The sequence below is a fragment of the Homo sapiens genome, chromosome 19 (genome assembly GCF_000001405.40).
Source record: "Homo sapiens chromosome 19, GRCh38.p14 Primary Assembly".
NCBI lineage: Eukaryota > Metazoa > Chordata > Mammalia > Primates > Hominidae > Homo > Homo sapiens.
In genome coordinates, this window is record NC_000019.10 from 43727628 (window position 1) to 43755609 (window position 27982).

Consider the following 27982-nt stretch of genomic DNA (forward strand, 5'->3'; position numbering starts at 1 on the left):
GGGCGTTTCTCCTTCCTCTGCTCCAAGATGGAGTTTGCCACCCCCAAAGCTGCCACCCCAGCACCTTCTCTGAGGAGAGTGGGCTCAGCCAGATCCTGGATGGCTGTCAACAGTAGCTGGAAGGTCAGGGACATGCTCTGGGGTACTGGTGGCAGAGAAGGAGAGCCTGGACCCTTGAGATACTGCCCACCCCTTCCCCTTCGTCTTCCAGCAGAGGCCCAGAGTGGGAAAAGAGGTCACCCCCGGTACCAGCGCATGACTGAACTAGACTTTGTAGTGAAATAATGCTTTTTAGCTGCCATTCCCTAACAGTCGGCACTTCTCAGTCACTGGTGATAGAGACCAATCGCTTGCATTAAGGAGAAAGAGTATGTATTGGCTCATTTATTTGCAAAGTTAGAGGATTGCAAAATGCTATGTGCCCAATGCAGACCTGGCACCTGTGGATGATGGTGGCATTTAACATTTATTGAGGCTCAGCATAGGTCAGGCACTGATATGGTTTGGATCTGTGTCCCCACCAGATCTCATGTCAACTTGTAGTTTGTAGTCACCACTGTTGGAGGTGGGGCCTGGCGGGAGGGACGGCATCATGGGGGTGGTTTCTCATGGTTCAGCGCCAGCCCCTTGGTACTGTCCTCACAATAGTGAATCTGTTGTAAGAGCTCGTGGTTTCAAAGTGTGTGCCACCTGCCCCCTCTTGCTCCTGCTCTGGGCATGTGAAGTACCTGCTCCCAGTTCACCTTCCGCCATGATTGTAAGTTTCCTGAGGCCTCCCCAGAAGCCGAGCAGATGCCAGCACCATGCTTCTGGTTCAGCCTGCAGAACTCTGAGCCAATTAAACCCCTTTTCTTTATAAATTACCCAGTCTCAGGTATTTCCTTACAGCAATGCAAGAACCGACTAAAACAGACACCATTATGAACTCAATTAATCACCACAACACCCCTAGGAGGTAGGTACAATCATCACCTTATTTTGCAGACAAAACAGATGCCCAGCAAGCTTTAGCAACTTGTCCAATGCCACACAGGTGGTAGATGGCAAGGCTGGGATCTGAACATAGGCAGCCTGGCTGCAGGGCTGACATTCTTAGGCCAAGTGCTGCGCTCATGACAGGCGCTTGAGCCCAGGCAGCTGCCAGCACAACATGGCCTGCTCCAGTGTAGAAGCTGATTGAGCGGTGCTCATGTTTCCTGCAGTGGAGGGTGAGAAGGATACCAATGTATTCCTGTGTCTGAATTGAAAAGCGTGAGTTCCACCTGCTGGGAATGATGAAGGGACTGGAGAGCCACAAGCAGCAGGCATTCCTGGTGGCCAGGCCCATCTTGCAGCCCATCCTAGAGCAGAAGGCCTCCCTGCAGCAGTATATCTAGCTGGTGTCCACAGTGGCCTGCTGGCAGCATCAGCCTGAGTCCTCTGCTGGATGTAAAGGGGGTGGCGGGTGACCGGTACATACTTACCCACTGTTCAGAAGGCTACTGCCAGTTTGACTCCTCTGTCAAACTGCCTCAACGAGCCAGCCCCTGCACAAAACCCTGGAGGTGGGACAGGGCCTTTGGACCAAGGTCACCAGATCACCACGGTGGTGGTGGTGGAAACGCTAGGCCGGATTTCCAGAGTGCCTCATTTCACCCATCCGGGCATCCTGGTCACCTGCAGCACCTCCTTCACCACCATCTACCGGATGCTTCACACGCCCCTGGATTTGGCAGCCAGGGACACCAAGAGTGTGCTGATTCAGACCTTCCTTGGCAACACTGACCACAAGATCACAGGTGAATCCAATCAACAATCTCAGCCCTGAGCTGGGCCAGCAGGAGGTGGTAGGTTAGGGCTGGGAGGGCACAGTTCTCTCTGTCCCCAGCCTTGTGCTGAAAGGGGCTGGGATGGAAGAAACTGAAGCTCCAACTCTCCTGGACTGAGTTGCATGCTGTCTGGTGCCGTCTTGCCTTGGGTCTCCCATCTTTCTCTGGCCGTTGCCCCCACCACCTTTCCTACTCTGGCAAACCCCCAAATCAACCAGCAGGAAGACCCCCTGGGGAAGCAGGGGTGGGGATGAGACTTGGGGCAGACATTTTGACAAGGCAGGGAAGAGCTGGGTTATCTAGCTGGAGAGGATGGTCAGGAGGGTTCTGTAGAGATCACGACAGTGGGGCAAAGGATTTAGAAGCATTTCGGTAAAAGGGCAGTGAATGTCACAGCTCTGAAGGGCCTCGAGGATGATCTTAAATGTTGGAATAATGGCCAGAGAGGGGAGGCTCCTTGCCTACTACAGTCGGTCAGGAAGTGGCTGTGCCAGAGCCTGTGCTGGGCCTCCTGTCTCCCAGGCCTCAGCCCTCTGTAGAGACTGGCATTCTATCCACTTCTGGCCTGACCTTCTCTGGCCCTGCTGAGTGCTTTCTTCACTGACCCCCCGCCCCCCCTCACTTCAGTTGTTTCTCACAAGGCCCTGGATCCCCATGGTATGAAACACCAGGGCTGTATGGGATGCTTGAAAGCAGGAGGAAACCAGGGAGACAAATATGTGCCACGGGCGGCAGGGGGTGGGGGAGGGCAATGGATGAACAGACTCAGCCAGCTGGACTGGAGCTGACTGCTTTACTGAACGATGGATTAATTTGGGGTGGCGAGACCAATTTGGAGACATACTTTGGGAAACCTCAAACTAAGATCATGTACTGTATTTAACTGAGCAGATGAGGGTTGGTACTGTACCAAATCGCAGAGTGGATTTAACTGAGGGTAGGTTCTGGATTTACATTAAAGGTGAGGGTTGCCATTTCTAAGCAAGAGTAGATGAGGTTTACGAGAGGAAAGCCACTGTATTTAACCAACAGAAGGCACTGTCTGTACGGGTGAGGCATGGTATTTGGATTAAGGGTAAGTACTTACTACATTTAAGGACAAGTTCTGTTTCTTAAGTCAAAAGTAGGCTTTTTTTTTTTTTTTGAGACGGAGTCTCGCTCTGTTGCCCAAGCTGGAGAGTGCAGTGGCGTGATCTTGGCTCACTGCAACCTCTGCCTCCCGGGTTCAAGCAGTTCTCCCACCTCAGCCTCCCAAGTAGCTAGGATTACAGGCGTGCGCCACCACGCCCAGCTAATTTTTTTTTGTATTTTTAGTAGAGACAGGGTCTCACCATGTTGGCCAGGCTGGTCTCGAACTCCTGATCTCAAGTGATCCGCCTGCCTCGGCCTCCCAAAGTGCTAGGATTATAGACGTGAGCCACCATGCCCAGCCTAGGCACTGTATTTAACTGGGCATTTAACCCAAAGGCAGGTAACTGTCTTTAAGTGAGAGCAGAAGACACGAGGGTAGTTGCTGTACTCAGCTGCACCAGTGTATTTTCCCATCCAAAACATACACAGGGGAGGCTTGATGCCACCCCAGGAAACAGAATAACCCCTTCTAGGGACTTCTTAGCAGAGACTGATCTCCATCTGCCCGCAAGGGCTGGGTGTCCAATTTGTCCTGCTTCCCAGAGCTGCATGGTGGGTAGAGGAGTAAGTGGAACATAAGAACAGGCTTGCATGACTGTGTTTATTTGAACCACCAGATCTGTTCCAATAAAGAGCTCTCCAGACCCTGCCTCACCTTACAGGGAAGGGCTTAGAGTCAGGGAAGAGGGGCCTGTTGCTCCTGTCCCTGAAAAAGGAGGTCAAGATGGAGCCCGGGCTTCCTGGTGACCATTCAGACTCCTCCCACTGCTTGTCCCTGTGGAGGACACAGGACGGGCTACCCCATCTCAGGTTTGGGGTGGGATCGCTCACAGTCACCCCCGGAACAGCCCCAACTGAGGGTGGGGGGCCTGGCCCTGGACACCTCATGTCTCTGGGCCGGGAAGCCACGATCCCTCATCCATCAGGCCTGCTGCCGCTCTCCACCCCAGCGGGGGATGGACATCTGTGCTCCCTCGCAGTACACTGCGGACCCAGGAGGTCCCCTGCATGACATTCCTCTCCTTGGCCTCAGGCCAGCAGGCGGCTGTACTCTGCCAGAGCAGAGGACTTTCTCACCCCATCCCAGATCCGGGCAGCGTAGTGGAACCTGTGAGGAGGCCAACAGTCAGGGCTGCCTGGCCGGGGCTCCCCCCAGCCCAGCACCAACCCGGGACAGGTGGAGAAACTGAGGCCCCTTTTATGACCTGAGATGTGACTCTGAGCCTCTTGGAACCCAATCTCCTCGACTGGGATACAGGGAGGATCCTAACAGTGATGGGAGGTGGCCCAACTTTTCTTAGCTCACCCAGGTTATGCAAAGCTGAAGGTTCCAGGGCTTGGACTAAGACCTCAAGTCTCCACCACCTAAACTTCTCCCACTCCACACAGTGCTGGCTTTGTGGGTGAGGGTTCAGTTTCCACCTCCCTCCAGAGTCTTACGACATAGAAAACATCTAACAGCAGCTGCACAACCCACAATCTTCTCCCTCTCTCCTCTGGGTCCTGGTTTAGACCAATGGCAGGAGCAGAGCTGGGACTCAAAGCTCTGCCCCATCTCTGCCCTACAAGCCCTGAGGGGCTTCCTGCTGCTTTGTCTGCACTCCTGACCCCTTCCAGGCACAGCCAACTGCAAACAGATGTAGGGAGCCAAGTTAGAGAGGCTGCACCCAGTTAAGCTATTTATCTTTCCAATTTTTCTCTTTGAAGTAAGATGAGGAAGACCTGGACTCATATGCTGAGAGCTCTGGACAAAGAAGTAATGTAAAGTAGGGGCCACAGAGCTAGTGCCGGGCCAAGTGAAAGCAGGGAGAGAAAGCCAGAGGCAGGAAACAAGACAAATGCAGAAGTGTGAAGAATGAGACCCTGATGGCTTCCTGGTTCCCATCTGCTGCAGGGCCCTGCTTTCTGTGATCAGGTCCCTGGAATAAATCTTCCTTAAGCTAAATCTGGTCACTGGTCCTACTCCTAGCAATCAAATGACTCCTAGCCACAGATGTGTGGCCTTGCTATGTAACACTTTTCCCCGAGCCTAAATTTCCCCACCAGGAAAACTGGTGACAAGGACCTACATGATGCTGGCTGATTAGGAGGATTCAAAGTCACAGGAAACAGCATGTTGCCACATGGGTGAGATGCTTACAAGACAGTAGCAATCATCACTGTTCCAGAAAAGGAACCTGGGATCTGGAGAGGAGGGGCTTCACAAGGTCATGCCGATCTAAGGGACGCCCCCTTCTCTCTACACCAGGGTGGGGTGCCTCAAATTGACCCCCTCTGCAAAGAGCTCTTACCAGTTCTTCTCGGTGAGGATCGTGTGTGACAGCTGTGGCCGGGCCATGGACATCACTTGGCTCCGGAGCTTGCTCACCAAGGACTGGAAACTGGGGTGGCCACGATACCCAGGCAGCAGGGAGAAGAGTGGGCTGGAACCAGGTCCTGGAAAGTTGGGGCAGGGAGGGTAAGAGGGATAGACTGCCAGGGTCTTTCTCCCAGTTAACAGCATCCTGGGCTTCAAGGAGCACCTGAGAGTTCAGCCCCGGCTGAGCTCTTCCTGTACTTCTATGACTCTGAAACACACTCCTAATAAAGGGTCCACACACCCCAGGAACAAACCAGGATCTTCTCTCAGACCAGGTAGGCTCCACACTGCTCCCAAACCAGGGCAACCCATGTCGCCTCCTAGACCAGTGGGTGCTGGGTCTCTCTCTGATCAGGATAGGACTTGTCTCTCCATGAACCTGTTGAGGGTAACTGTACCTGCTCTTGGTGGGTTTTCACTCTCTGCTTCACTGTCCATGAAGGGTACCAGGAATAAGTTGACCTCAGAGTCCAGGAAGTCAGGTGGAAGCCCCGGGAAGACATTGCATTGTAACATGGACAGAGTTCCTGGAGGAGAAAACGCTTCAGCCTTCAGGTACCATGTTGTGGGTTTGGGGAGTGGGAATTGTTGACAGTCAAAGCAGGATCAGGAGACTAGTCTGGGGGTAGAGACTGACCCACGGGGTTGGATCAGGAATTAGGAGGCTGACTAGCTTGGGGGGTGATGTGGGAACCCTTACCCTTGTAACGCAGGTGGGAGTGGGCCATGAGCTGGTCAATCATCAGGTGCATCTGCCGCAGCTTCCGAGGACAGAAGTCCTCTCGGCGAGCTTTGTTCTGCAAGAAGACTGAGGGTGGGAAGAGACGGGCCCTGTCAGGCAGACATCGCTTGGCTTCATGGACTCCCCTTTCTCACCCCAAAGACCTGTTGTTACCCCTGAGTTCAGATCACTGTGTAAATATTTATATAACTTCACTTCACTTTAGCACCAGGCTCTGTGTAGGGCAATGCTGGGGACCCAGAAGTGAGTCAGGTCTGATTTCTGCCCCTAGTCTCTTTGAGGCCCTAGCGAGGGATCATAAAATGAACTGGGTCTTTGAAGAAGAGTAGAGCGGAGAAAGGATGAAACAGGCAAAGGAACGGCATGTGCAAAGGCTAGAGGAGGGAGAACAGGTGGACGGGGCCACCCAGATGAACCCAACCTAATACTCACTTCCTGAGTTGGGAGATTCCAGGGACCCAGAAATAGGCAGACCTGGGGCCTGTCCCATTCCAGACACAGGCTCAGGGGTCATGCCCTCAACTGTCAGGATTGGACCAGGGCAGTGGGAACTTGGAAGGAGCAGCTAATCCTTTTTGACTTTGCTCCTCACAACTCTCAAAAGTGCTCCACCCAGAACCCCACTCCTTCCTCTCTCTCCCCTCTTCTCCAGCGTGCTCCTGACTTTCAGCCCCTCATTTTTCCTCCTGCCCACCCCTCCAGTCCCCAGAAAGCCTCTCACCTAGGTGGGGGTAGTACTCGGTGCCTTCATCGGAGCCCGATGAGCTGCTGGACTCGTGGCTGGGGGATGGGGTGGAGGGCTTCACCATCTCTGCTGTCTGCAGGAACCTTGGGGTTTGGGGTGAGTGGCTGTTGCTCTTGCACTTGCACCCCAGGTCCCACAGCCTGGGACAGGGGCTTCCTTTGAGATTCTGATGAAAGCTACAGCCATGCTCAGAAAAATACCATATACACACCATGTTTCTCACAATTTCAGAGAATTCAGAGATAATCCTCTCAGATACCAACCCATGGACTTACCAACTGTATAAATTCTTTGAGTTTACTGTATTTTTTTTTTAAAGGCTATTTTTTAGAGCAGTTTTAGGTTCACAGCAAAACTGAGCAGAAAGCACGTAGCGTTCCCACACAACCCCTGCACATGCACAGCCTCCCTGACTATCAACATCTCCAACCTGAATGGTTCATTTAAGATCCATGAAGCTGCACTGACACATCATTATCACCCAAAATCCCTAGTTTACATCAGGGATCACTCTTGGTGCTGTACGTCCTACAGGTTTGGACAAATGTATAAAGGTGTGTGTCTGCCATTATAGCATCACAGAGTAGTTTCACTGCCCTAAAAATCCTCTGTGCTGTCCCTATTCATCCCTCCCTCTCTCCAACCCCTGATCTTTTTACTGTCTCCGTAGTTCTGCCTTATCCAGACTGTCTGTATAGTTGGAATTACAAGTATATAGCATTTTCAGATTGGCTTCACTTGATCTGCATCTAATGATCCTCTATGTCTTTTTATGGTGAGATAGCTCATTTCTTTTCAGTGCTGAATAATATTCCATTGTCTAGATGTGCCACTGATGATTTATCCATTCGATTTACTGAAAGACATCTTGGTTGTTTCCAAGTTTTGGCAATTATGGATACAGCTGCTATAAACATCTGTGTGGCCGAGCACGGTGGCTAACGCCTGTAATCTCAGCACTTTGGGGAGCTGAGGCGGGCAGATCACCTGAAGTCAGGAGTTCGAGACCAGCCTGGCCAACATCGCGAAACTGTGTCTCTACTAAAAATACAAAAAATAGCCGGGCATGGTGGCACACACCTGTAGTCCCAGCTACTTGGGAAGCTGAGGCAGAAGCACTTGAACCTAGGAGGCGGAGGTTGCAGTGAGCCGAGATTGTGCCACTGCACTCCAGCCTGGGTAACAGAGTGAGACTCTGTCTCAAAAAAAAAAAAAAAAAAAAAAAAATCTGTGTGGTTTTTTAGTGGAATTTTCAGTTTATGTTATTTTAAAATAATTTTTTACAATAGGTTAAGAGTACATAAACCTGTTTTCTAAGGTAAGGGATAATGGGATTGCTAAAATACAGGGACATTCTCCTCATACACACACAAACACATCTACAATCTCAAGGGGCTCCCCTACTCTGAGAAGCCCACCTGTAGACAAGACCTTAAAAACAAGGCTCTGCCATGTGCCGGCCTGAGCCAATACTCCTACCAGAATGTAAACTCCCCAAGGAGTTTTATCTGTTTTCTCTCTTTTATCTGTTTTGTTCACACCTGTGTCCCTAGTGCCCAGAACAGTGCCTGGCACACCTAGATGTGAATGAATCCCAGATGGTGGTAGGAATAGGTGTTTCAGAATGAAGTCACAGCTCAGCTGCATTAGATCTGGTCAGAACAACCAACTCCCCAGCAAGCCTTTTTTGCTGTTGGCCAGACCCTCAGCTCATCCCTGTCCCCAGGGTTACTAATACAAACATTAAGTTTTCTCCATCAACTGCTTACTATGTAACAGGGACTAAGCTGAATGCTTTAAATTCCTTAACTCACTGAATCTACACAACATAATGCTGCTGATGAGGAACTGAGGAGGAAACAGACACATGCCCAGTAAGAGCTAGGATTCAAAGGCACTACCTAGCTCTGAAGGCATCTGCTTCCTAATTCCATTTCTCCCCTCCCTATAAGCTCCTGTCCCTTCCTTCTGCCTGGTCCGTGTGCCCAAAGCTGTTCCCCCCAACACCTCCCAGCGGTCTCCTGGGGCCTGAAGCCAGGAAGAGCCCTTGTGGCCATAGGTTCTGAGCCAGTCTCTTCTGGAGGCATTTCTGCAATCTGTGGCTGCTTCAGGCAGGACTCCTGCCAGGTCCTGCCTCCCTGAGTACCAACAGGAGGGCACACGAGCCTGAAGGAGATGAACAGCAAAACTCCACGGATCAGACAAGCCAGCTCCTCATGCTCCTTATTCAGCAAATTTGTAGTAAATATTTACTGTGTGCCAGGCACTGTGTGAGGTGCTGGGGACCTTGCCCTCCTAGGGCTTACATTCGAATGGGGGAGAAAGATCATAAGGAAAGCTACAGTATCCTATTAAGGAGAGGTAAATGCAATGAAGGAAAACACAGAAGTGAGGGAGAGTAACAGGGGATGCTATGTTAGATGGTCAGGGAAGGCCTGAAGTTGACTCGAATGGCACGAGGGCGAGAGTCTGAGGAGATCTGCGGGAAGGGTATTTCCCACTGAGGGAGGCGGAGTGCAGAGGTCCTGGGCTGCAGGAAGAACAGCCATGAGGCCCTGTGGCTTTAATAAAGGGAGTGAGGGCAGGTGCGGTGGCTCACGCCTATAATTCCGGCACTTTAGGTGGCCGAGGCAGGTGGATCACCTGAGGTCAGGAGTTCAAAACCAGCCTAGCCAACATGGTGAAACCCATCTCTACTAAAGATGCAAAAATTAGCTGGGCATGGTGGTGGGTGCCTGTAATCCCAGCTACTCGGGAGGCTGAGGCAGGAGAATCACTTGAACCCAGAAGATGGAGACTGCAGTGAGCCGAGATTGTACCACTGCACTCCAGCCTGGGCGACAGAGCGAGACTCCGTCTCAATAAATAAATAAATAAATAAATAAAAATAAAGGGAGCGAGGGGAGGCAGTGAGAGAAGTCAGCAAGGTGACCAGAGAGCAAAGGACTTTGTAAGCCATGCACGGGCAGACTTTGGATTTATTCTGGTAGATATGTAAAGTCAGTGGAGGGCTGTGTGTGCGCGCAGTGCTTTGAGGGGGAGGTTAGATGGGAGTGATTTGCTCCAACTTACATTTTAAAAGGATCCCTCTGGCTGCTGTCCCTTGAGTCAGTGGCTCAAGTCTCTGGGCCTTTGTCTCCTGCCTCATTCCTCCTCCCCACCCTCCAACCCCTCAGCTCCTCACCTGTAGAGACTGAGGTCTGTGAACCAGTCCTGGACAACAATCACCACATGGCAGACCGTGAAAAGGAAGGCAGCAATCTGGAGTGACTGAGGGTGGGCAGGATGGAAGGGAGGTGAGGACCTCTTCTGCCCAGACTAATCAGGAGTCCCTGATCCCAGGACTCAGTTCAGGAGGCAGCAAGGCAAGGAGCCTTCAAGCAGCTACTGTGTGCCCAGCACTGTGATGGCACTTCCCTTACAGGCCATCCCTAACTCAGGAAAGGTGGGAATTATCACCCCCATTTTACACAGGCAGATGCTGAGGCGTCAAAGGGGAGGGGGTGGGAAATGACTTGCCTGAGGGGCAGAGCCAGGAGTTGAGCCAGTCCTGACTCTCAGTGTTGTCCTCTTCCTATAGCCCTTGGGGCAGCCAGGGCTCTTCTGAAGCAGAAACTAAGTGGACCACCCACACCCAGCTCTCCAGATCTTGGGAGGATGGGGGTGGGGATGTAAAACCTCAGTCCTGGGCCTGGCTTGGCTCCCTCACCTGCATTTCAACGTAAGTGTGGGGAAGGTTGTACTCTGGAGGCAGTTTGCGGTCATTATTGATGAGATGGTCTAGGATAGAAGGGCTCAGGATGGGCTGCAGCAAGGAAGAGAACAGAGTGTCACTCAGATACCCAAGTTTCACACGCTCAAGGCAAATACATTGTCTATCTCAGGACAAAACAAGGTCAGAAACAAAGGCAGGCAATTTCTAATTAGAACAGCAAAAGGAAGTTAAAGAAAAAAAACTCAAAGCTGATACACTTTTCCAGCTCCTTTACAAATCACTGTTGCTCGCAAGCACCTCATGCCCAAAGAGAAGAAACTGCTTTGTGCTAATGAATTTTTAACGTTTACTCAAATGAGTCATGTCCCTTAAAGGCTCATTTTGTTGTCAGTTGTTTCATACGCTTTCAAAACTTTGCTAAGATAATTACTTAGGTAAAAAAAAAAAATAATTAGTGTGAAAACTGGTGAGAATTTTAAAAACTGCATCAGTATGTATAAGAATCAGTGGTGAGCTCACCGGACTTTTTTTTCTTAAAGGAACATTCAATCAAAAAACTTTAAGAGCTAAATTAAATTAGCTTGATAGTCTACTGGCTTCTTACTGCAGTGAAATTCTTTTAGAAAGGGGCTTTCACAACTGCTCGCGTTCTCAAACTCCAAACATTGAGCAGTGCTCTATTCTGTCTTGTTTAACTTCCGTCCTCCTCTTCACAGGTCTCTGACCCAGACCACAGCCGGTTTGGTTTGTCTCCAGGTCTCCATGGCCCCTGCACAGGGCCTGGCACACAAGGCTCACATCACATTTGTAGATTTTCCACTCTGTGTCATCAATGCCACAGTGACCAGAACTCTGTTCCACCAACTATGAGTGCCAACTAAAGGGCCAGGCCCTGTGCCCCAGCTCTCACCCCCAGAGCCAGGGCTCTGCTCTGAAGAGCTTCGGGCAGGCAGGGAGTGGGAACAGACACGGTGGCAAATCACATGCTATGGTGGGAGGTGCATATGGGCAACAGTGGAAGGGGAGGGCTTCTGAGAGGAGGCCACACCCCAGTGGAGTCTTGAGGAAGAAGAAGGCGTTAGCCAGGCAAAAACGCAAGGCGAGAGCCTATTGTACTGATAATGGTATTAATTGCTAAGGGTATTTAGCACCTAACTCCTGTTGGGTGCTGTCATTAGGACTTTACTTGCATCGATGCACTGAAACCTCACAAAACCCCTATGAGGCAGGCAGTATTGTTTTTCCCACTTAAAACTGAGGAATGAAAATAAATAACTTGACAAGGTCACACAATTCGTTGGTGGTTTCAGGTAAAAACGGGATATGCGAAGTCCAGAGAAGAGAGAGATCAGTGTGTGTGTGCTGGGGGTCTGGTGGCTCCTCCAGAGGCGAGGATAGGCAGTCTGAGGGAGGCAAGCCACACCCTCCGAATGCCAGCTTAAGGAATCTGGACTTTGCCTGAGAGGAAGGGAGAAGCCGAGGAAAACTGCCAGGTAAACGCAGGACCAGTCAGTGCTAACGACAGTGACGAGCCTGAGCACTAACCTTGTGCCAGGTCCTGGCCAAGCACTTTGCCTGGATTGTTCCACTGAATCCTTGAAACTCCTAAGAGGCTAAGTACAGTTACCATCCCTATTTACAGATAAAGAGCTGTGGTTTAAGGGAGTTTAAAACTGAAAGTCACCCAGCTGGTAAGAACTAACAGACAGGATCAGAACACACATTCTCCAGGGCCCACACTTTTCAGCACTATACTAGAAATCCTTTAGGCTACTGTGTAGAAGGCGAATGAGATGGGGGCAAAAGTGACAAGAGACTAAGGGCCAAGAAAAGACACAATTTGCCCCAGGGCAGCCAGTATGTCCATGGCTTGACTGGAAGCACATGGAATCCACGCAGGGTTCTGGCTTAATCACATTCCAGGAAGAGGCTCAATGCAGGATGTGGCAGGGTGGGGCAAAGGCAGGCGGGGCTGGCACCTGTGTGTCCAGGAAAACAATCCGTTCTTGGGTAATAAAGAAGTCGATGCCACTGGTCTGGTTGCCCCCTCGTTCCTTCATTTCAGCGCTCTGGGCCCGGAAAACATAAGTCCTGTGGAGAGGAGCAGGCAGGGGTGTGTGAGAGCTCTGGTTCTCAGCCTTGGATGCATCCGAAGTGTGACCCTGTGAGCTGAGCATGTGAGCCGTGGTGCCCTGCCTGCTCCCTAAGCTTTTCATCTGTGGCCCATGTCAGGGGGTGGGAGGCGGGGGTAGTGCATGTTTTGAAGCACACAATTTCACTCCTATCCATAAAGAGATCCATTAGTTCAATTAATGAAGCCAGTACACTGAGGTGTTGAAGGGCAGAGACTCCGCCAGTCTGCCAGGATTCAGATCCCAGCTCTGCCTCTTCCTGGCTGTGTGGCTTTAGGCACACTCCTTAACCTTTTTCCATCAGTTTCCTCATCTATAAAACGGGGATAACCACATGATCAAAACTCTGTGTATTACTGTGAGGTCGGTATGTGTAAAGCCCTTAGAATGGTGCCTGATATATAATGATATATACTTTTAGCTGTTAATTATCAAATAAACCTACTAGATCCCAGGCATTGGAGAGAGAGCACTGAGTGCCCTCCACTCCCACAGTGAGAGAGAGTTTGGGTCTTGTTCCCAGCATCTTCCCCTGTCAGGTGAGTCTCCCTCACTTCTACGTGTGCTGGGTGCTGGGAATATGAGGGCAAAGCAGGCAGAGCAGGGCCGTGCCCTAAACCACTAAGTTCAACTTGGTGACTCTGTGACTTGGGCAAAGTGATTTTACCTTTTGAAATCTGTAAAATCAGGGTAATAGTACCTACCTCTCAAGGGGTAATTTCTATCTCCCCTCAAGATGCATAATCTGTTGTCTGACACAAAGCAGGCATCCTTCCACTTTACAAACACTATACGGAAAACCTCCTATTTGCCAGATACCAGGATATAGCAGTGAACAAAAAAGACTAAGTCGGCTTCTGTGAAGCTTCTGGTCTAGTTTACAAATTACCAGAAATCAGTAACTGTGGGTGTTAGAAAGAAGAGGCGTGCAGTGCTCCAAGTGCAGATTGCTTAGTTGGTGGAGCCAGAAAGGGCTGCCCTGGAGAGGGAAATGACAATGCTGAGGGTGAGAGAGAAAGAGGGAGTTAATTGGCACTGGGTGGGGGATGGACGCAGAGGAAGGTTGCATCGGCAGAAAGTAGGTGGCTTGTTGTACTAGGACTCAAAGACCAGCATGGCAAGAGCAGAAAGATGGTGCATGTGGGAGGGGAGGGAGCAAGAAGAGGATACACAGACCCTTGTGGAGCATGGTAAGGCTTTGGCCTATGAGCCTGGAGAAGCTGCTGGAGAGATGTAAGTAGAGGAGTGACAGGATCAGACTGTGGTTTGAAAGGTCCCCTTGCTGCTATGTGGTGAGGACCGTACGGTGGAAAAAGTGGAGATAGGCTTACAAGGCCCAGTGCCAGAGTGCCTCGCTCTGCCTCTCTGGCCTTATCTCCTACCACTCCCCTTCTAAGGCTGCCACGTTCTTCTACACACACTATGGGCAAGCTCCCACTTCAGACGCATTGCCCATGCCAGTCCCTTTCACTGGAATGCTCCTCCCAGCATGCTTTTTCTCAAACGTTCCCCTTAGCAAGGCCTTCCCTCACCATCCTATTTAAAACTATAACCTAGTCTGGGCAACACAGCAAGACCTCATCTCTACAAAAAATAAAAAAAAATATTAAGGGCATGGTCGCTCATGCCTGTAATCCCAGAGCTTTGGGAGGCCAAGGTGGGAGGATCACTTGAGGTCAGGAGTTCAAGACCAGCTTGGCCAACATGGTGAAACCCTGTCTCTATTAAAAATACAAAAATTAGCCGGATGTGGTGGTGCACGCCTGTAATCCCAGCTACTCGGGAGGCTGAGGCAGGAGAATTGCCTAAACCTAGGAGATAGAGGTTGCAGTAAGCCAAGATGGAGCCACTGCACTCCACCCTGGGTGACAAAGCGACAATTGTCTCAAAAATAAAAAATAAATAAATTAGCCAGGCATGGTGGTACACAAATGTAGTCCTAGCTACTCAGAAGGCTGGGGTCAAAGGATCACGTGAGCCCAGTCTGGGCAACACAGTGAGATCCTGTCTCTACAAAAAATTAAAAAATTAGTTGGGCATGGTGGTGCATACCTGTGGTTCCCAGCTACTCATATGGCCAAGGTGGGAGGATGGCTTGGGCCCAGGTCAAGGCTGCAGTGAAGCCATGATCAGGCCACTACACTCCAGCCTGGGTGACAGAGCAAGACCCTCGTCTCTTAAAAAATAGTAATAATTTTTAAAACCTGTAACCTAGGCCCAACATTACCTCCCTATAACCCTTTTCCATTGTGTTATATTCTAACGTGCCGAATAGTGTGTTTATTTTGTTTACTATCTTCCCTATTAAAATATAAGTCCCACAAGGGCAGATTTTTTCCAGTTTTGTATACCACTGTATCCCCAGCACCTAGAACAGTGCCTGGCGCATAGTAAGCAATTAATACAGTACTTGTCAAAACTGAATTAAATCAGGCAGACCAGACAGAAACCTCTTGGTATCCTGCATGTAAGATAATAATGGCTTGGACTAAGGAGGTGGGAGTGAAGGAGGGAAGAAACAGATGAATTAGAAAGAGAATTAGCAGGAAGGCCAGGCACGGTGGCTCACACCTGTAATCCCGACACTTTGGGAGGCCGAGGTGGGCAGATCACCTGTCAGGAGTTCAAGACCAGCCTGGTAAACATGGCGAAACCCCATCCCTACTAAAAATATAAAAATAAGCTGGGCATGGTAGTCCCAGCTACTCGGGAGGCTGAGGCACAAGAATCGGTTGAACCCAGGAGATGGAGATTGTGTTAAGCTGAAATTGTGCCACCGCCCTCCAGCCTGGGTGACAGAGCGAGACTGTCTCAAAAAAAAAAAGAGAGAGAGAGAATTAGGAGGCAAAACCTAGACCTGATGAAAAGAGTTGATACTGAAGTCTACCACACCACAGGCTGACGTGGCTCAAAAAGACAAGCTGGGTGACAGGATTCTCCCTACCTCAGGAATCTGAACTGAGACCCATGGGGAAAATTTGCTAGTTGGGGTGAAAAGCTGAAATGGAAAGAATGTTATCTAAGACCTGGAACTATTCCAAAATGGAACCAAACTGAGTCATGAGTGAGCAGAGAAGAGGAGGGAGAGAGGCAGAGGAACCTCACAGCTCCAGCTTTATGGGATGTGTATTCGCCCAACAGTGGTCTTCACCTTTTCTAGATCTCCATCAGCCCACTCTGAGATCTGGTGCAAACTAGGGACCTTTTCCCTAGAAGAAAAGCCTGACTGCAAATGTGTGTAAAATTCTGCATACGGCCAACGGTGGTGGCTCACACCTGTAATCCCAGCACTTTGAGAGGCCAAAGCGGGAGGATTGCTTGAGCCCAAGAGTTTGAGACCAGCCTGGGCAACAGAGGAAGACGCCATCTCTACCAAAAAAGTTAAAAACCAGCTGGTGTGGTGGCATGCCCCTGTAGTCCCAGCTACTTGGGAGGCTGAAGTGGGAAGATCACTTGAGCCTGGGAGGTAGAGGATGCAGTGGGCTATGATCGTGCCATTGCACTTGAGCCTGGGTGAAAGAACAGGACACTGTCTCAAAAATAAATGAATAAATAAAATTCTGCATATACTGTTAAGGGATTAATGGACTCCTGACGCTCATCCATGGAGGCCAGGGTAGTATCACCTGCTTTACAAAAAAACAGATCCCTGTATTTTTAGGTAACTTCAACATGTCTCTGTTCTTCACCACCCCAGTGGCTACTATCCATTCTCATTCCCCATTTTGATTCTCCCTTAATGAGATGTGTATCTCCCCCATTCCCAAATTCCTACATTTTTCCCTTTCCTTCTCTGCCCCCAGTTTCGGGACCTGTTTCTCAAGTTCTCCCCTCCCCAAAACCTGCTCCTGTGCCCTTATGCTTTATCTTCATAATCACATTCCATCCTTACTCAAGAATGTTGTTCAGGCCAGAGAATCCTCATGTCTGATCCTCCCCAGCCTGGAGAAGCAGAGCCATTTTCCCAAGGTGACACAGTAGGACTGAGGCTGGTACAGAAACCACTCTCTGTCTCCAGATCTCTTTCCCCACTCTATTTCTCAGATCGTATCAGCTACCATTCTGTGATACTTGCTCTATGCCAGGTGCTCATTAACTTTTGCCTTCTTGATCTTATTTTATTCTCCAAAAATCTACCTGGACAGGGGATACGGGAAATGAAGTGACCTGCCCAAGGTCAACCAGTTATGTTGCAGGGCTGAGCCTGAGGTGGGCCCAAATCCAAAACCTTAACAACTACATCATCCCACTTCTTGTCTAGGACCTGTACCATTTCCTGAGGCCAGGCAGGAAGGGAGGGAGGGAGGGAGGAACAGGATTGGATGCCTTGGAGCTACACAGATTTAGTCCAGCCCATTATCATCTTCATCTCATGAAGACACTGAGGTCTACAGAAGAAAAGCAACTTTCCAAAGTCCTTTGGTAACACCACTTGAAACACCCAAGCCCACCTTGCCCCTGCTCCCAGTGGGTGCCCACCTCCCTCCTGCACCCTATCTGATAGCCCCTCACCTCTGGTCCTCCTCTGGAGTGTTGGCTGACAACAATGACATGACCATGGACTTGCCTGTCCCCTGGAGGCCCAGGACACCAACCACCAACACATCAGTCTGATCCAACAGGTACTGTGGGAAAATACATAAATGACTCTGACAAGTCTGTCAGCTGCTGGAGCTGGAATGAGGGGGGGACTCCAGAGACCCTTGTGGCTCCCCCACCTGCCTTATCATATATGAAGAGAAACTCCTATAGTCCCAACCCCTTCAACTAGGCATAGGGCCTCTGTTCCGTGTCATGGTAGGATTATGTGAAATGTTTTAGACACAAACAACAGTGTCTGTGAGAACTCTGAAGTAGAAAAGAGCCTAGCATGGTCAAGAAGCTAAAAGGAAGTCAGTGTGGCTGAACACAGCGGGAAAAAGGGAAGTCTGATCTTGGAGAAGTGAAAGTGAGAGTCACAGGAACAGAAGGGCAGGTTGGAGAAGATAGGACTCGGCGACTGAGGGCTACTGGCACAGATTCCTGGCAAACCTGGGAAAGCACATGAAAGGGAGTGGTGTGCAAACAGGAGCCACCCAGGCTTTCGTCTGTGTGTGTGTTTTTTTGTTTTTTTTTACATTCATATGCTGTTGTCTGTGGGATTTAAGAGCCCCTCTGGAAATTAACTGAGACCAACTCTGGGCCACCAGCTCTGCTGACTTTCACCACCAGGGGGTGTAAGAGACACTCCTCAAGGAAAACAGCTACGTTCTGAACTGTGGCTGCTGCTCCTTAGAATTACCTTAAAATTTTGTTTTGTTTTGTTTTTTAAAAGCGAATCCTATAGGCCAGGTGTTGTGGCCCACGCCTGTAATCCCAGCACTTTAGGAGGCCAAGGTGGGAGGATCGCTTGAGGCCAGGAGTTCAAGACCAGCCTGGCCAACATGGTGAAACTCCGTCTCTACCAAAAATACAAAACCCGGCTGGGTGCAGTGGCTCACACCTTTAATCCCAGCACTTTGGGAGGCCGAGGCAGGCGGATCACCTGAGGTCGGGAGTTACAGACCAGCCTGACCAACATGGAGAAACCCCATCTCTACTAAAAATACAAAATTAGTTGGGTGTGGTGGTACATGCCTGTAATCCCAGCTACTCGGAAGGCTGAGGCAGGAGAATTGCTTGAACCCGGGAGGCGGGGGTTGCGGTGAGCCGAGATCGTGCCATTGCACTCCAGCCTGGGCAACAGGAGCGAAATTCCATCACAAAAAAACAAAAAAAAAAACAACTATCTGCGCGTGATGTCGCACACTTGTGGTCCCAGCTACCTGGGAAGCTGAGGCTGGAGAACTGCTTGAACCCGGGAGGTGGAGGTTGCAGTGAGCCGAGATGGTGCCACTGCACTCCAGCCTAGGCAACAGAGCGAGACCGTCTCCTAAATAAATAAAGCAAATCCTGGGCCCAATCAGGATTTAACGTGCTTTAACACATTAAAGCAGAATATCTATGGATGCCCTGTTCAATCAGTAGGCATTGATCATACATGGCTATTTAAATTAGTAAGCTTAAACAACATTAAAAATTCTGTTTGGTTGTACTAGCCACATTTCAAGTGCTCTAAAGCCACATCTGGGGATAGCGGCTACCATACTGGACGGATAGTTCAAATATATATGATCTTCATCACTGCAGAAAGTTTTCCTTAATAGCGCTGAAGGGTAGGGTTTGGTTTTTTGTTGTTGTTCTGTTTTTTGTTTTTTTAAAGCTCCCCAGTTAATTCCAATGTGAGAGTGGACACAGAAGTGGCAGGGGCAAGGCAATAAATGGACTTGAGGCTGTGCTAATAAGTCCAGGCTGCTGGGTAGGAGAGGTGACACCTCTGGGACAATCTGAGCAGGGGTGTGACAGGTCTAGGGGAGAAAAAGCAGAAGAAGGGACACAACATCTGGGAGACTGGTGTTATGTATGATGATCTAGGAATGTGAGGTCTGAACTAGAGCAGGGGGTGGTGGGATGGATGGGGGTCACTTTGGGGGAGTGACATTCAAAACAGTTGACACTGAGACAGCGTGGGCTTCTTGTTCTTTTTTTTTTTTTTTTTACTGAGACAGGGTCTCACTCTGTTGTTGAGGTTGGAGTGCAATGTCATGATCACAGCTCTCTGCAGCCTTGACCTCCTGGAGTCAAGTGATCCTCTTACCTCAGCCTCCTGAGTGGCCTGGATGCCTCCTGCCACCATGCCTGGCTAATTTTTAAATTTTTGGTAGAAATGGAGTATTCCTATGTTGCCCAGGCTGGTCTTGAACTCCTGGGCTTAGGTGATTCTCCTACCTTGGCCTCCCAAAGTGCTGGGATTACAGGCATGAGCCACCAGCAAGGGTTTCAACCAAATAAGAAGGGTACTGGAGCAGGGTCCAAAAGACTCCCCTGCTGTGGATGGCACGGGAGATCCCAGGGGTCCTGGGGTGGTAGTGAGAGTACTTCTTTACCAATCGGTACCAAAGGAGTTCTGTATTTTACCAACTAGCAAGCACAGCCGAGCTAGTTGAAATTCCGCTCTGGTTAGGTGAGAATGTTCTGATACCACCCCCTCTCACTGCTGTAAGTTGCCTCAAAACCCTCCAGTCTGGTGTTGCCTACAGAGAGGTGGAAGATCAGAGGATGCAGGATGTGCGGAAGCTCAGGCAGGGCAGGACCCCTCGGTACCTCGATGGCACTGTCACACCAATTCATCTGGTCATCCACCAACTTGATGCTGTGCTTCATGCGCTCTGGGGGCAGTAGTTTGGCCTGACCCACGACAGCTGGAGATTGGAGAAAGCAGGAGACAGAGGATGCAGTGAGGATCTGTGAGGAGACGCCAGTTCCCAACCTGGTACTGCCCAGCCCCAACTCACGGTCCATGGCTGCTGGTGCGGCAGTGCCCATGCCCCGGTTCTGGATCTGGTACACAGGCTGTGTGGGTCTCTGCCCCTCCTTCTCCCCCTTGGGTGGCGCAGGGGCTGCAGGGGGTGGTGGGGCGGTGCCCTCAGGGGTAGAGGCACCTGTCACGGCCACAGGCCCCTTCCCCTCCTCCCGTGGCTTCATGAGAACGATGGGCTTCTCCAGAGGGGCTGGAGCAGGCGGGGCAGCAGGGGCTGTTGGAGGTGGTGGCTGTTTTGACTACGGAGGTAAAAAAAATCCCATCAATGGGGGCAATCCCTTCCCTAACGGCTCCCCCTCCTCCCTCCTTCTCTGCTCACCCGCTCTGCTGGAGGTTTTGAGAGGATGATGGGGGTTTTCTGCATGACGGAAGTGCTTGTCTCTTCGCTGGCATCCTGTGGTGAGGGAGGGCAGTTACTCATGAATGGCTCTCCTGGACATTCCAGATCTTTATGTACCATGAACTATTCTAAATGCCGAAATATATTAACTACCTTGATCCTACCAACAGCCCTGTGAGATAGATACTATTATTACCCCCACTTTACAGATGAAGAAAATGAAGCCTAGAAAGGTTAAGCAGATTGCCCAAAGTCACAAAGCCCAGGCAGCCTGGCTGCAGAACCAAATCCTCAAGCATTCTGCTCAGCTGCCTCTGCGAGGCAACAAGCCCAGGAGGAAAGGAACTAGGAGCTAGACAGGTCTGGGTGCAAACCTGATCCCGCCTCGTGTTGGCTGTGTGAACTTGAATAAGGAACCACCCTCGCCACCTTCACTTATGCCTCATTTTCCCATCTGTGAGTGGGTATGGGAATTCCTTCCTCACAGACTATGATGAGGATGAAAGGAGAGAGAACTCATCAAGTGTCTAGCATGGCACCTGACACATGGCAGGTGCTCACTATGTGAGAGCTGCTGGTGGCACTTGCTATCCTGATCACCTCTGCCTCAGCCCCCTCCTGCTCTGGCAAAGCTGGCAGGCTGATCCCAAGCCTTGACCTCTTCATGCCTCCCCAACTTACCCTCAGTCTGCTGAAGAGGGGAGAAATCTGAGTCTGAGTCCCGTTCTTTCTCTGGTTCCTTGAGTAACCTCATGAGAGTCTTGACCCCTAACTGTGTCTGTTCCTTCACCAATATACTGAGGACACTTACTTAAACCCTGCTCACTTCACTGGCTTACGGTGAAGAACAAACAAAAAGACGAAGTGAAAGTGCTTCGAAAAGAAGTTTCAAGGGAAAAACTACAGGAGGAGAGGCTGTGGACTTCCAGGAGGCTAGGAAGGGGGAGATGATACAGGCTGAGTATCTCTTATCTCAGATGCCTGGGACCAGAAGTGTTCTGAATTTGGGATTTTTTTGAACTTTGGAATATTTGCATATTTACTGGTTGAGCACCCCAAATCCATTTGCAAGGCTCCAATAAACATTTCCCTTAAATGTCACGTTGGTGCTCAAAACATTTGGAATTTTGGAGCACTTCGGATATTCAGTCTATACCTGGGATGAACGCTGTGAGGGTAGAGAGAAGACACACAGATATAACCAGGCGGCAGAATGTAAAGCACTGGTGCCTGACTAGCACAGAGGAAGCAGGGGAGAGGCGAGAGAGGCATTCAGGATAAGGCCCAATGGGCTGTCACTGATATGGGAGAAAAAAATGGGAAGAGGAAAAATGGCAGAAAGATGCCGAGGTCAGCACGGGACACAGAGGATAAGAAGCCCATGGGTGTGACAAGAGGCTGCCAGGGCTCAGTAGCACATTTAGAGACAAAGATGAGGTTTAGGAGGTGCTTGTTCAAGGATTAAACCTGAAGGTGTGGCGGGATAACATTCCCCAGGAGGGCATTATGTGGAAGGAAGAGAGACTACGTGTTCTCATTTACACTGTGGCCCAAGAGAAGGAGCAAGTAAGAGCCCAGCTCACTGTGAAAAAACTATTCTTCATGTTTGTACAGTTTTATAGCTCAGAAGCTGGCCCCAGTTGTCACCTACTTCCACCCTACCTGACATCTCTGAGGTGGACAGGGCCCTAGAGAAAAAAGCCCAGGGGGCAGGTTCTGGCAGTGAGTCACCTAGGTACAGGAGGGGAGCGAGGCTGGGCCTGGGCACAAGCCGATCCCTCCTGATTCCCAGCCCAGGGCGCTCTCTACAGCAGGCAGAGCGATGCTATATGTGAGACTAAGCTGGACCTGGATCTGAGTCCTGGACCCAAAGTTTATTGACTCTGATTTTGGAAAAGTCCCTTCACCTCTGGGGCTCATTTTCCTCATTAGTGAAAATCAGATCTATCATAGAATCTACCTCATGGGGTAGCTGTAAGGGTTCAGGAAGACCCAAAGGATGTAAAAGACTTTGCACAGTGCAAGCACAGTATAGGCTGCTCAGTAAAAAGAGTAACAGTTGTTGTTATTATGACATGACCCTTTAAAACATGAGCTATGGCACCTCTCAGCTCAAACTCTCCAATGCCAATTTCACTCAGTGAAATACAAAGTTCTTTCCAAGGCCTACCAGGTCCTACATGATTTGGCCCCAGTTACTTGACTTCATCTCCTATCTCTCTCCCTCCTTCCTCATCAATTGCAGCCATCCTGGCCTCCTATGGCTACTCCTTGAACACGCCAGATATGGGCCACCTCAGGGCCTCTGCGCTTGCTGTTCTTTCTGTCTGGAATGCTCTTCATCTCAGATGCTGGCATGGCTTATTCTCTCATCTCCTTCAAGTCTCTGCTAAAAAGTCACCTCTTCAGAGAGACCTTCTCTGACCATGTTATCTAGAACAGTCTCCTTTATCACTCTCCACCTTCTTTATCCATGAGGGTGGTAGGTTTTGTTTACAAATATATCCCCGGCATCTGGATTAGTGCCTGGCACATGGCAGGTGCGTGGAACCAAATAGATACATGAATGCTGCTCCTGGGTCCAGACACTCACCCTTCTCTCTCTTTCCCATGGTGCAATGTAGTCCCTCTCCCGACCACCAGGCCCAGAGAGATTCTGGGGGCCACCAGAGCCAGGCTCCTTCCACCGTCGCCGCCGCTCTATCCCATAGAGTCCAGGCTGACTGTGTCCAGACTCAGACATGGTTACCTATGGAGGGAATGAGGGGATTTCAGGATGACAGAGTCTCTTCCTACTCTACTTGGCATATCCTAGACTATACGAAGTCCCTTCTTTCTTTTTTTTGGAGATGGAGTCTCTCTGTCGCCCAGGCTGGAGTACAGTGGCCTGATCTTGGCTCACTGCAACCTCTGCCTCCTGAGTTCAAGCAATTCTTCTGCCTCAGCCTCCCAAGTAGCTGGGATTACAGGCACCCACCACCATGCCTGGCTAATTTTTATATTTTTAGTAGAGATGGGGTTTCACCATGTTGGCCAGGCTGGTCTCGAACTCCTGACCTCAGGTGATGCACCTACCTTGGCCTCCCAAAGTGCTGGGATTACAGATGTGAGCCACTGTGCCCAACCAAGGCTCTTCCTTTCTTCTTTTTTTTGAGACAGAGTTTCGCTCTTGTCACCGAGGCTGGAGTGCAATGGCGTAATCTCGGCTCACTGCAGCCTCCACCTCACAGATTCAAGCAATTCTCCTGCCTCAGTCTCCTGAGAAGCTGGGATTACAGATGCCCACCACCACACCCGACTAATTTTTTTTGTATTTTTAGTAGAGATGGGGTTTCACCATGTTGGCCAGGCTGGTCTCAAACTCCTGACCTCAGGCAATCCACCTGCCTCAGCCTCCCAAAGGGCTGGGATTATAGGCGTGAGCCACCATGCCCGGCCAAGGCCCTTCCTTTCAACAGAGCTCTGGGCCTGTGGTAGCAACTGCAAGCTGGTTCCCAACATCCACTCCTGACTTCTTCCAAAAAAGTAAAACCCTCAGTTCTGAGCTAGGTACATGGCTATCCAGAACAAACTTCTCATCCTTGTTTGCAGTTAGGTGTGGCCATGTGAGTAAGTACTTTCTGGCTATGGTATGACACTAGAAGTGTGGCTTGGCAGCTTCCAGAAACTTCCCTTCACAGACTCTGGCACATGCCTTCTGCCCCTTCCTCCCAGTGACAGGAATGTGGGTGTGGAGGTTGGAGCTCAAGCAGCTATCCTGGGCTGTAAGGCAATTTAATGGAAGGTACAATAAAACAAGACACAAGGTTGGGGGGTTCCACGTTAACCTTGAATTGCCTACTTCGAGAGGCAGTGAAAAACAAATACACATCTATCTCTTACTTGCAGCCAAAACTATTCCCAACTATTAAAATGCTCCAACATAAATAAACTCACAGGGGCAAGTTCACATAAAAATAGGATATTCTCCTTACCAAAATGCAGCAAGGCATTTGCTTACAAACCAGCAATGTGATCCTCAGTCCAACAGCTACTCTTGATTAGTCATTACTAGTGTATGTCATGGTGGGGCTCCAGCCACTTACTAGTGTATGTCATGGTGAGGTTCCAACACTCAAGGGCCTATTTTCACCTGGTATCCCACTACATTTCAGTGTCTGTCTGTCTTCCGTTCCTGACGGTCTGCCTTCCCTCACAGTGAATTTCATTTCAAGGTGTCTCCAGTGTTTATTCTATTTGAGATGTTATATAATGTCTGGCTACCTATGCAACCCACTCTCCACCATTTCAGTATCTGTTTACAGGTCCTTAGAGAGTTTTCCCAGCTGTTCACACATCAGTCTAGGGTGGTATTTGACTACTTAACTGTTTGTAGAACTCAGTGGGGCTATCTGCTCAAGCTCAGAAGTCAGGTTGACAAAGTGTGGCCTAGGGGCCAAATCTGGTCTGCTTTCTGTTTTTGTAAATAGAAAGTTTTATCGGAACATGGCCACATCCATCAATTTAGAAACTGTCTGTGGCTGCCTTCTTGATGCAATGGCAGAGCTGAGACAGACAATACAGTCTGCAGGGCCTAAAATAATTATTCTCTGGCCTTAACAGAAAGTTTTACTGAATGGCCGAGTATGGTGGCTCACACCTGTAATCCCGACACTTTGGGAGGCCGAGACAGGAGGACTGCTTCAGCCCAGGAGTTCGAGACCAGCTTGGGCAACATAGCAAGATCCTGTCTCTATATAACATTTAAAAAAGAAAAAAGTAGCTGGGCGTGGTGACATGCACCTGTAGTCCCAGCTACTTGGGAGGCTGAGGTGGTGGGATCACTTGAGCCTGGGAGGTCAAGGCTGCCATGATCATGCTGCACCACTGCACTCTAGCCTGGGTAACAAAGCAAGACCCTGTCTAAAAAAAAAAAAAAGCAGAACCCTGTCTCAAAAAAACAGTTTGCTGACCCTTGCTTAGCTTGGAAGTATCTGTTAAATCCCTCCATGAATCCTCCCCTGCCCCACCTCATAATGACATAAACAGGTCCCTCCGAGACTCTCCAGAATGGAAGGGTCTGTTTACAAGATGCAGTCATAATTTTGCTAGCCAGACAAGTGGCTTGTCTAGCTCCTCTCCTACTGTGCTACATGACCTCTCCCAGAGCCACAAGCCAGGCTGAAGACTGCTTTCCTAGACAGAGGAGGACAAGGGCCTGTTTACAGCTGCTTAGGGAAAATGACTCATTCCATACCGAAATGACTGCTTAGTCTGGGATGGAGATTCTCCCCAGAATCTGAGACTCCTCCCTCACTTGCAATTAAGTGTCTTTACACATTATTCTGAAATCTACCCAGTGCTTAAGTACTTGTCTTCATGCCTCAATTGGGATACTGCCCAGCCCTGAGGTTTCTGTTTACTGGCCTATGAGGATGCCCTTTCCTGTGCAAAGTAAGCGCCCCTGTGTGAATGCTTTTCTTTTTTTTTTTTTTTTTTTTTTGAGACGGTCTTGCTCTGTTGCCCAGGCTGGAGTGCAGTGGCACGATCTCAGCTGGCTGCGGCCTCTGCCTCCCGGGTTCAGGCAATTCTCCTGCCTCAGCCTCCCAAGTAGGTGGGATTACAGGTGCATACCACCAGGCCGGGCTAAGTTTTGCATTTTCAGTAGAGACGGGGTTTCGCCATGTTGGCCAGGCTGGTATCGAACTCCTGGCCTCAAGTGATTCGCCAGCCTCGGTCTCCCAAAGTGATCGGATTCCCCGGGTAAGCCACCGCACCTGGCCTCCCTGTGCCCTTTATTCTGGGAGCTTCCACAGTATCTGAATGTGGGGAGTTCCTTGGAACTTAAAAGCCCACCTAAACCAGGTGTGGAGGATACAGTGAGCCGAGATCGTGCCACTGCACTCCAGCCTGGGCGACAGAGCGAGACTCTTGTCTCAAAGAAAAAAAAAAAAAACCCCACCCACATGCAAGCTGGGGACTTCCAATGCTGTTTCCGGGCTCCTTTGGGGATTACCCCCAAACTTAGGAAAGCTGGTCTATTTAAGTGTCTGCTGATGGACTTCTAGGGTGACTTCCCGAAAATTAACAAATCGAATTTACATATTTTTGGGGAGTGTCTCCTCAGTATTTAGGCATCGCTTCACACACTCCCTTCGGGGATCTCCCAGAACCTCACTATTTGCAAATATTTGGGGAGACTCTCCCGATTCCTGAGTATGTAAGCCCACTTCGTGGGGCACTCCCCAGCCCAGAACTGTAGTCGATTTGCACATTTTCCTAAGGACTCCCTAGGATTTAAACTTCTCTCTACGGGGTTCTAGAAGGGAGCCTCCCCCGGATTTAGGCATTGCTTTACAAAGCTTCCCTCGGGGAACCCAACTCAAGTTTCTCGTTACACGTTATTGGGGCGGCCTCCCCAGTACTTGACGGGCAGTTTGCAGGCTGTACTTGGATCTCGCAGAGCATAAGTTTCTCATTTACACGTTATTTCCGTCCCCCGCCCCCATTCCTGCCAACCCAGTATCGAATTGACGGTCGCCGGCCCCCTACTCAGTGCCGCACCCCCGCCGGACGTCCCAGCGACCTTTCAATGGCCAAGGCGGGGGCGGGGCCTGCCGGAGCGCCCCGCCCGCCGCCGGTGCGCTAGCCTCGCGCGGGCTCGCGGCCCCCTTACCTAACGCGGCTGCTGATTGGTTCTCGGGGCGCGGTGTGCGCTCTCCCGTGACGGGAGTCGGGTGGGGGCGGGGAGGCTGACCCAAGCCACCCGCCTGCAAATGGCGTCTGGGGGCCAGGAACGTGGGAAGGAGAGAAAATGGGCACTCCCCACTCCGAAACCGGCCTCGGCGTCCGGGTTGCAGCCCCTAAGGAAAGCTGGGCCGAAGGAAGAAGAGGAGGAGGATGTAACGCGGGCCCGAGCTGAGATCAGTTCCCTCAGGCGACTCGTCCTGCGCATGCGCTGAGGGCTGGAGCTCGAGAACTGAATGCGCTCGCCGGGCTGAGCGTGCGTGGATGGAGGCGGTCGGCTTCAGCACGCATGCGGGTTCCGGAGCGGGAGGCGGGAGGACGCCGCGGCTCTGACTCAATGCGCGTGCGCGCGGTTGGGGGGTTGAGGGTGGGGAGATGAGTAGGGAAATGGATACGCCGAGGAGCCGGCAGGAGGGAGAGCGGCCCGGATCTGGGGTTCGAGTTGTGCCTCTTCGGTGATGTTGGCGGGATGCAGTGGGGTGGGACGACAGGGAGGAATTTCACTGTTCTGGGCTGAGTGCCAAGAACACATGAATGAATCAGACTTGGCGTGCGCCCTGGAAGACACCCCGGCCTGTGGAGAGACTGCCAGGGCCTCAAATCACTTAGGAAAGGGCGCGGGTCCGGTTGGACCTTGAAGGACAGGCAGGCGAGGGTACTCCAGGGAACAGCTAAGCAAAGGCGGCGAAGACCCCGGGGGAAGAGGTCTAGACTGGCTTGGATTCAGGGTCCACCTGGGTGGGAGGTGAGGCAGCAGAATGGGCAGGTCAGACCCTGAAGGGTCTCCAGTGTCAGTTTTATCCTTAAGGCCTGGGAGATGCAGAATAGTCTGAGACAGAACTATGTTTAAAACCCTCGAAGGCCGCGTTGGAGAAGGGAATCCGC

At 50.5% G+C, this 27982-nt stretch overlaps 1 protein-coding gene across 8 annotated transcripts, besides 3 other annotated features; it reads right to left on the minus strand.

Moving 5' to 3' along the window:
• On the minus strand, positions 356-27335 carry SMG9 (SMG9 nonsense mediated mRNA decay factor). 8 transcript variants are annotated; one of them, XM_005259057.4, is made up of 14 exons: positions 27027-27335; positions 22965-23120; positions 20351-20425; positions 20006-20270; positions 19815-19912; positions 17145-17257; positions 12480-12591; positions 10495-10590; positions 9970-10055; positions 6762-6868; positions 5999-6106; positions 5697-5825; positions 5231-5375; positions 356-1422 (listed from the first exon to the last, which is right to left on the minus strand). In XM_005259057.4, the coding sequence occupies exons 2-14, from the start codon at positions 23112-23114 to the stop codon at positions 1341-1343; spliced, it is 1566 nt and encodes a 521-aa protein (XP_005259114.1). In that variant the 5' UTR covers positions 23115-23120; positions 27027-27335; the 3' UTR covers positions 356-1340. The 8 variants fall into 8 exon arrangements, with proteins under 8 accessions (XP_005259114.1, NP_061981.2, XP_011525415.1 ...); NM_019108.4 differs by having other exon boundaries at positions 356-4047; XM_011527113.2 differs by lacking the exon at positions 27027-27335 and adding an exon at positions 26937-26966.
• Positions 20157-20286: a silencer, noted in NCBI's record as "silent region_10728". NCBI's record gives its function as "represses an Ori minimal core promoter by ATAC-STARR-seq in GM12878 lymphoblastoid cells {active_cell/tissue: GM12878}" and the evidence as "EXISTENCE:reporter gene assay evidence [ECO:0000049][PMID:35858748]".
• Positions 26266-26525: an enhancer, noted in NCBI's record as "active region_14736". NCBI's record gives its function as "activates an Ori minimal core promoter by ATAC-STARR-seq in GM12878 lymphoblastoid cells {active_cell/tissue: GM12878}" and the evidence as "EXISTENCE:reporter gene assay evidence [ECO:0000049][PMID:35858748]".
• Positions 26756-27115: a silencer, noted in NCBI's record as "silent region_10729". NCBI's record gives its function as "represses an Ori minimal core promoter by ATAC-STARR-seq in GM12878 lymphoblastoid cells {active_cell/tissue: GM12878}" and the evidence as "EXISTENCE:reporter gene assay evidence [ECO:0000049][PMID:35858748]".

Coding starts and splice junctions, on each gene's coding strand:
- SMG9 (XM_005259057.4), bottom strand. CDS start 23,114: ATGTCTGAGTCTGGACACAGTCAGCCTGGACTCTATGGGATAGAGCGG. Junction 12,592..17,144: donor ACTCCAGAGGAGGACCAGAG/GTGAGGGGCTAT, acceptor TCCTCTCCACAG/GACTTATGTTTTCCGGGCCC. Junction 10,591..12,479: donor TTGTTTTCCTGGACACACAG/GTGCCAGCCCCG, acceptor TCCTTGCTGCAG/CCCATCCTGAGCCCTTCTAT.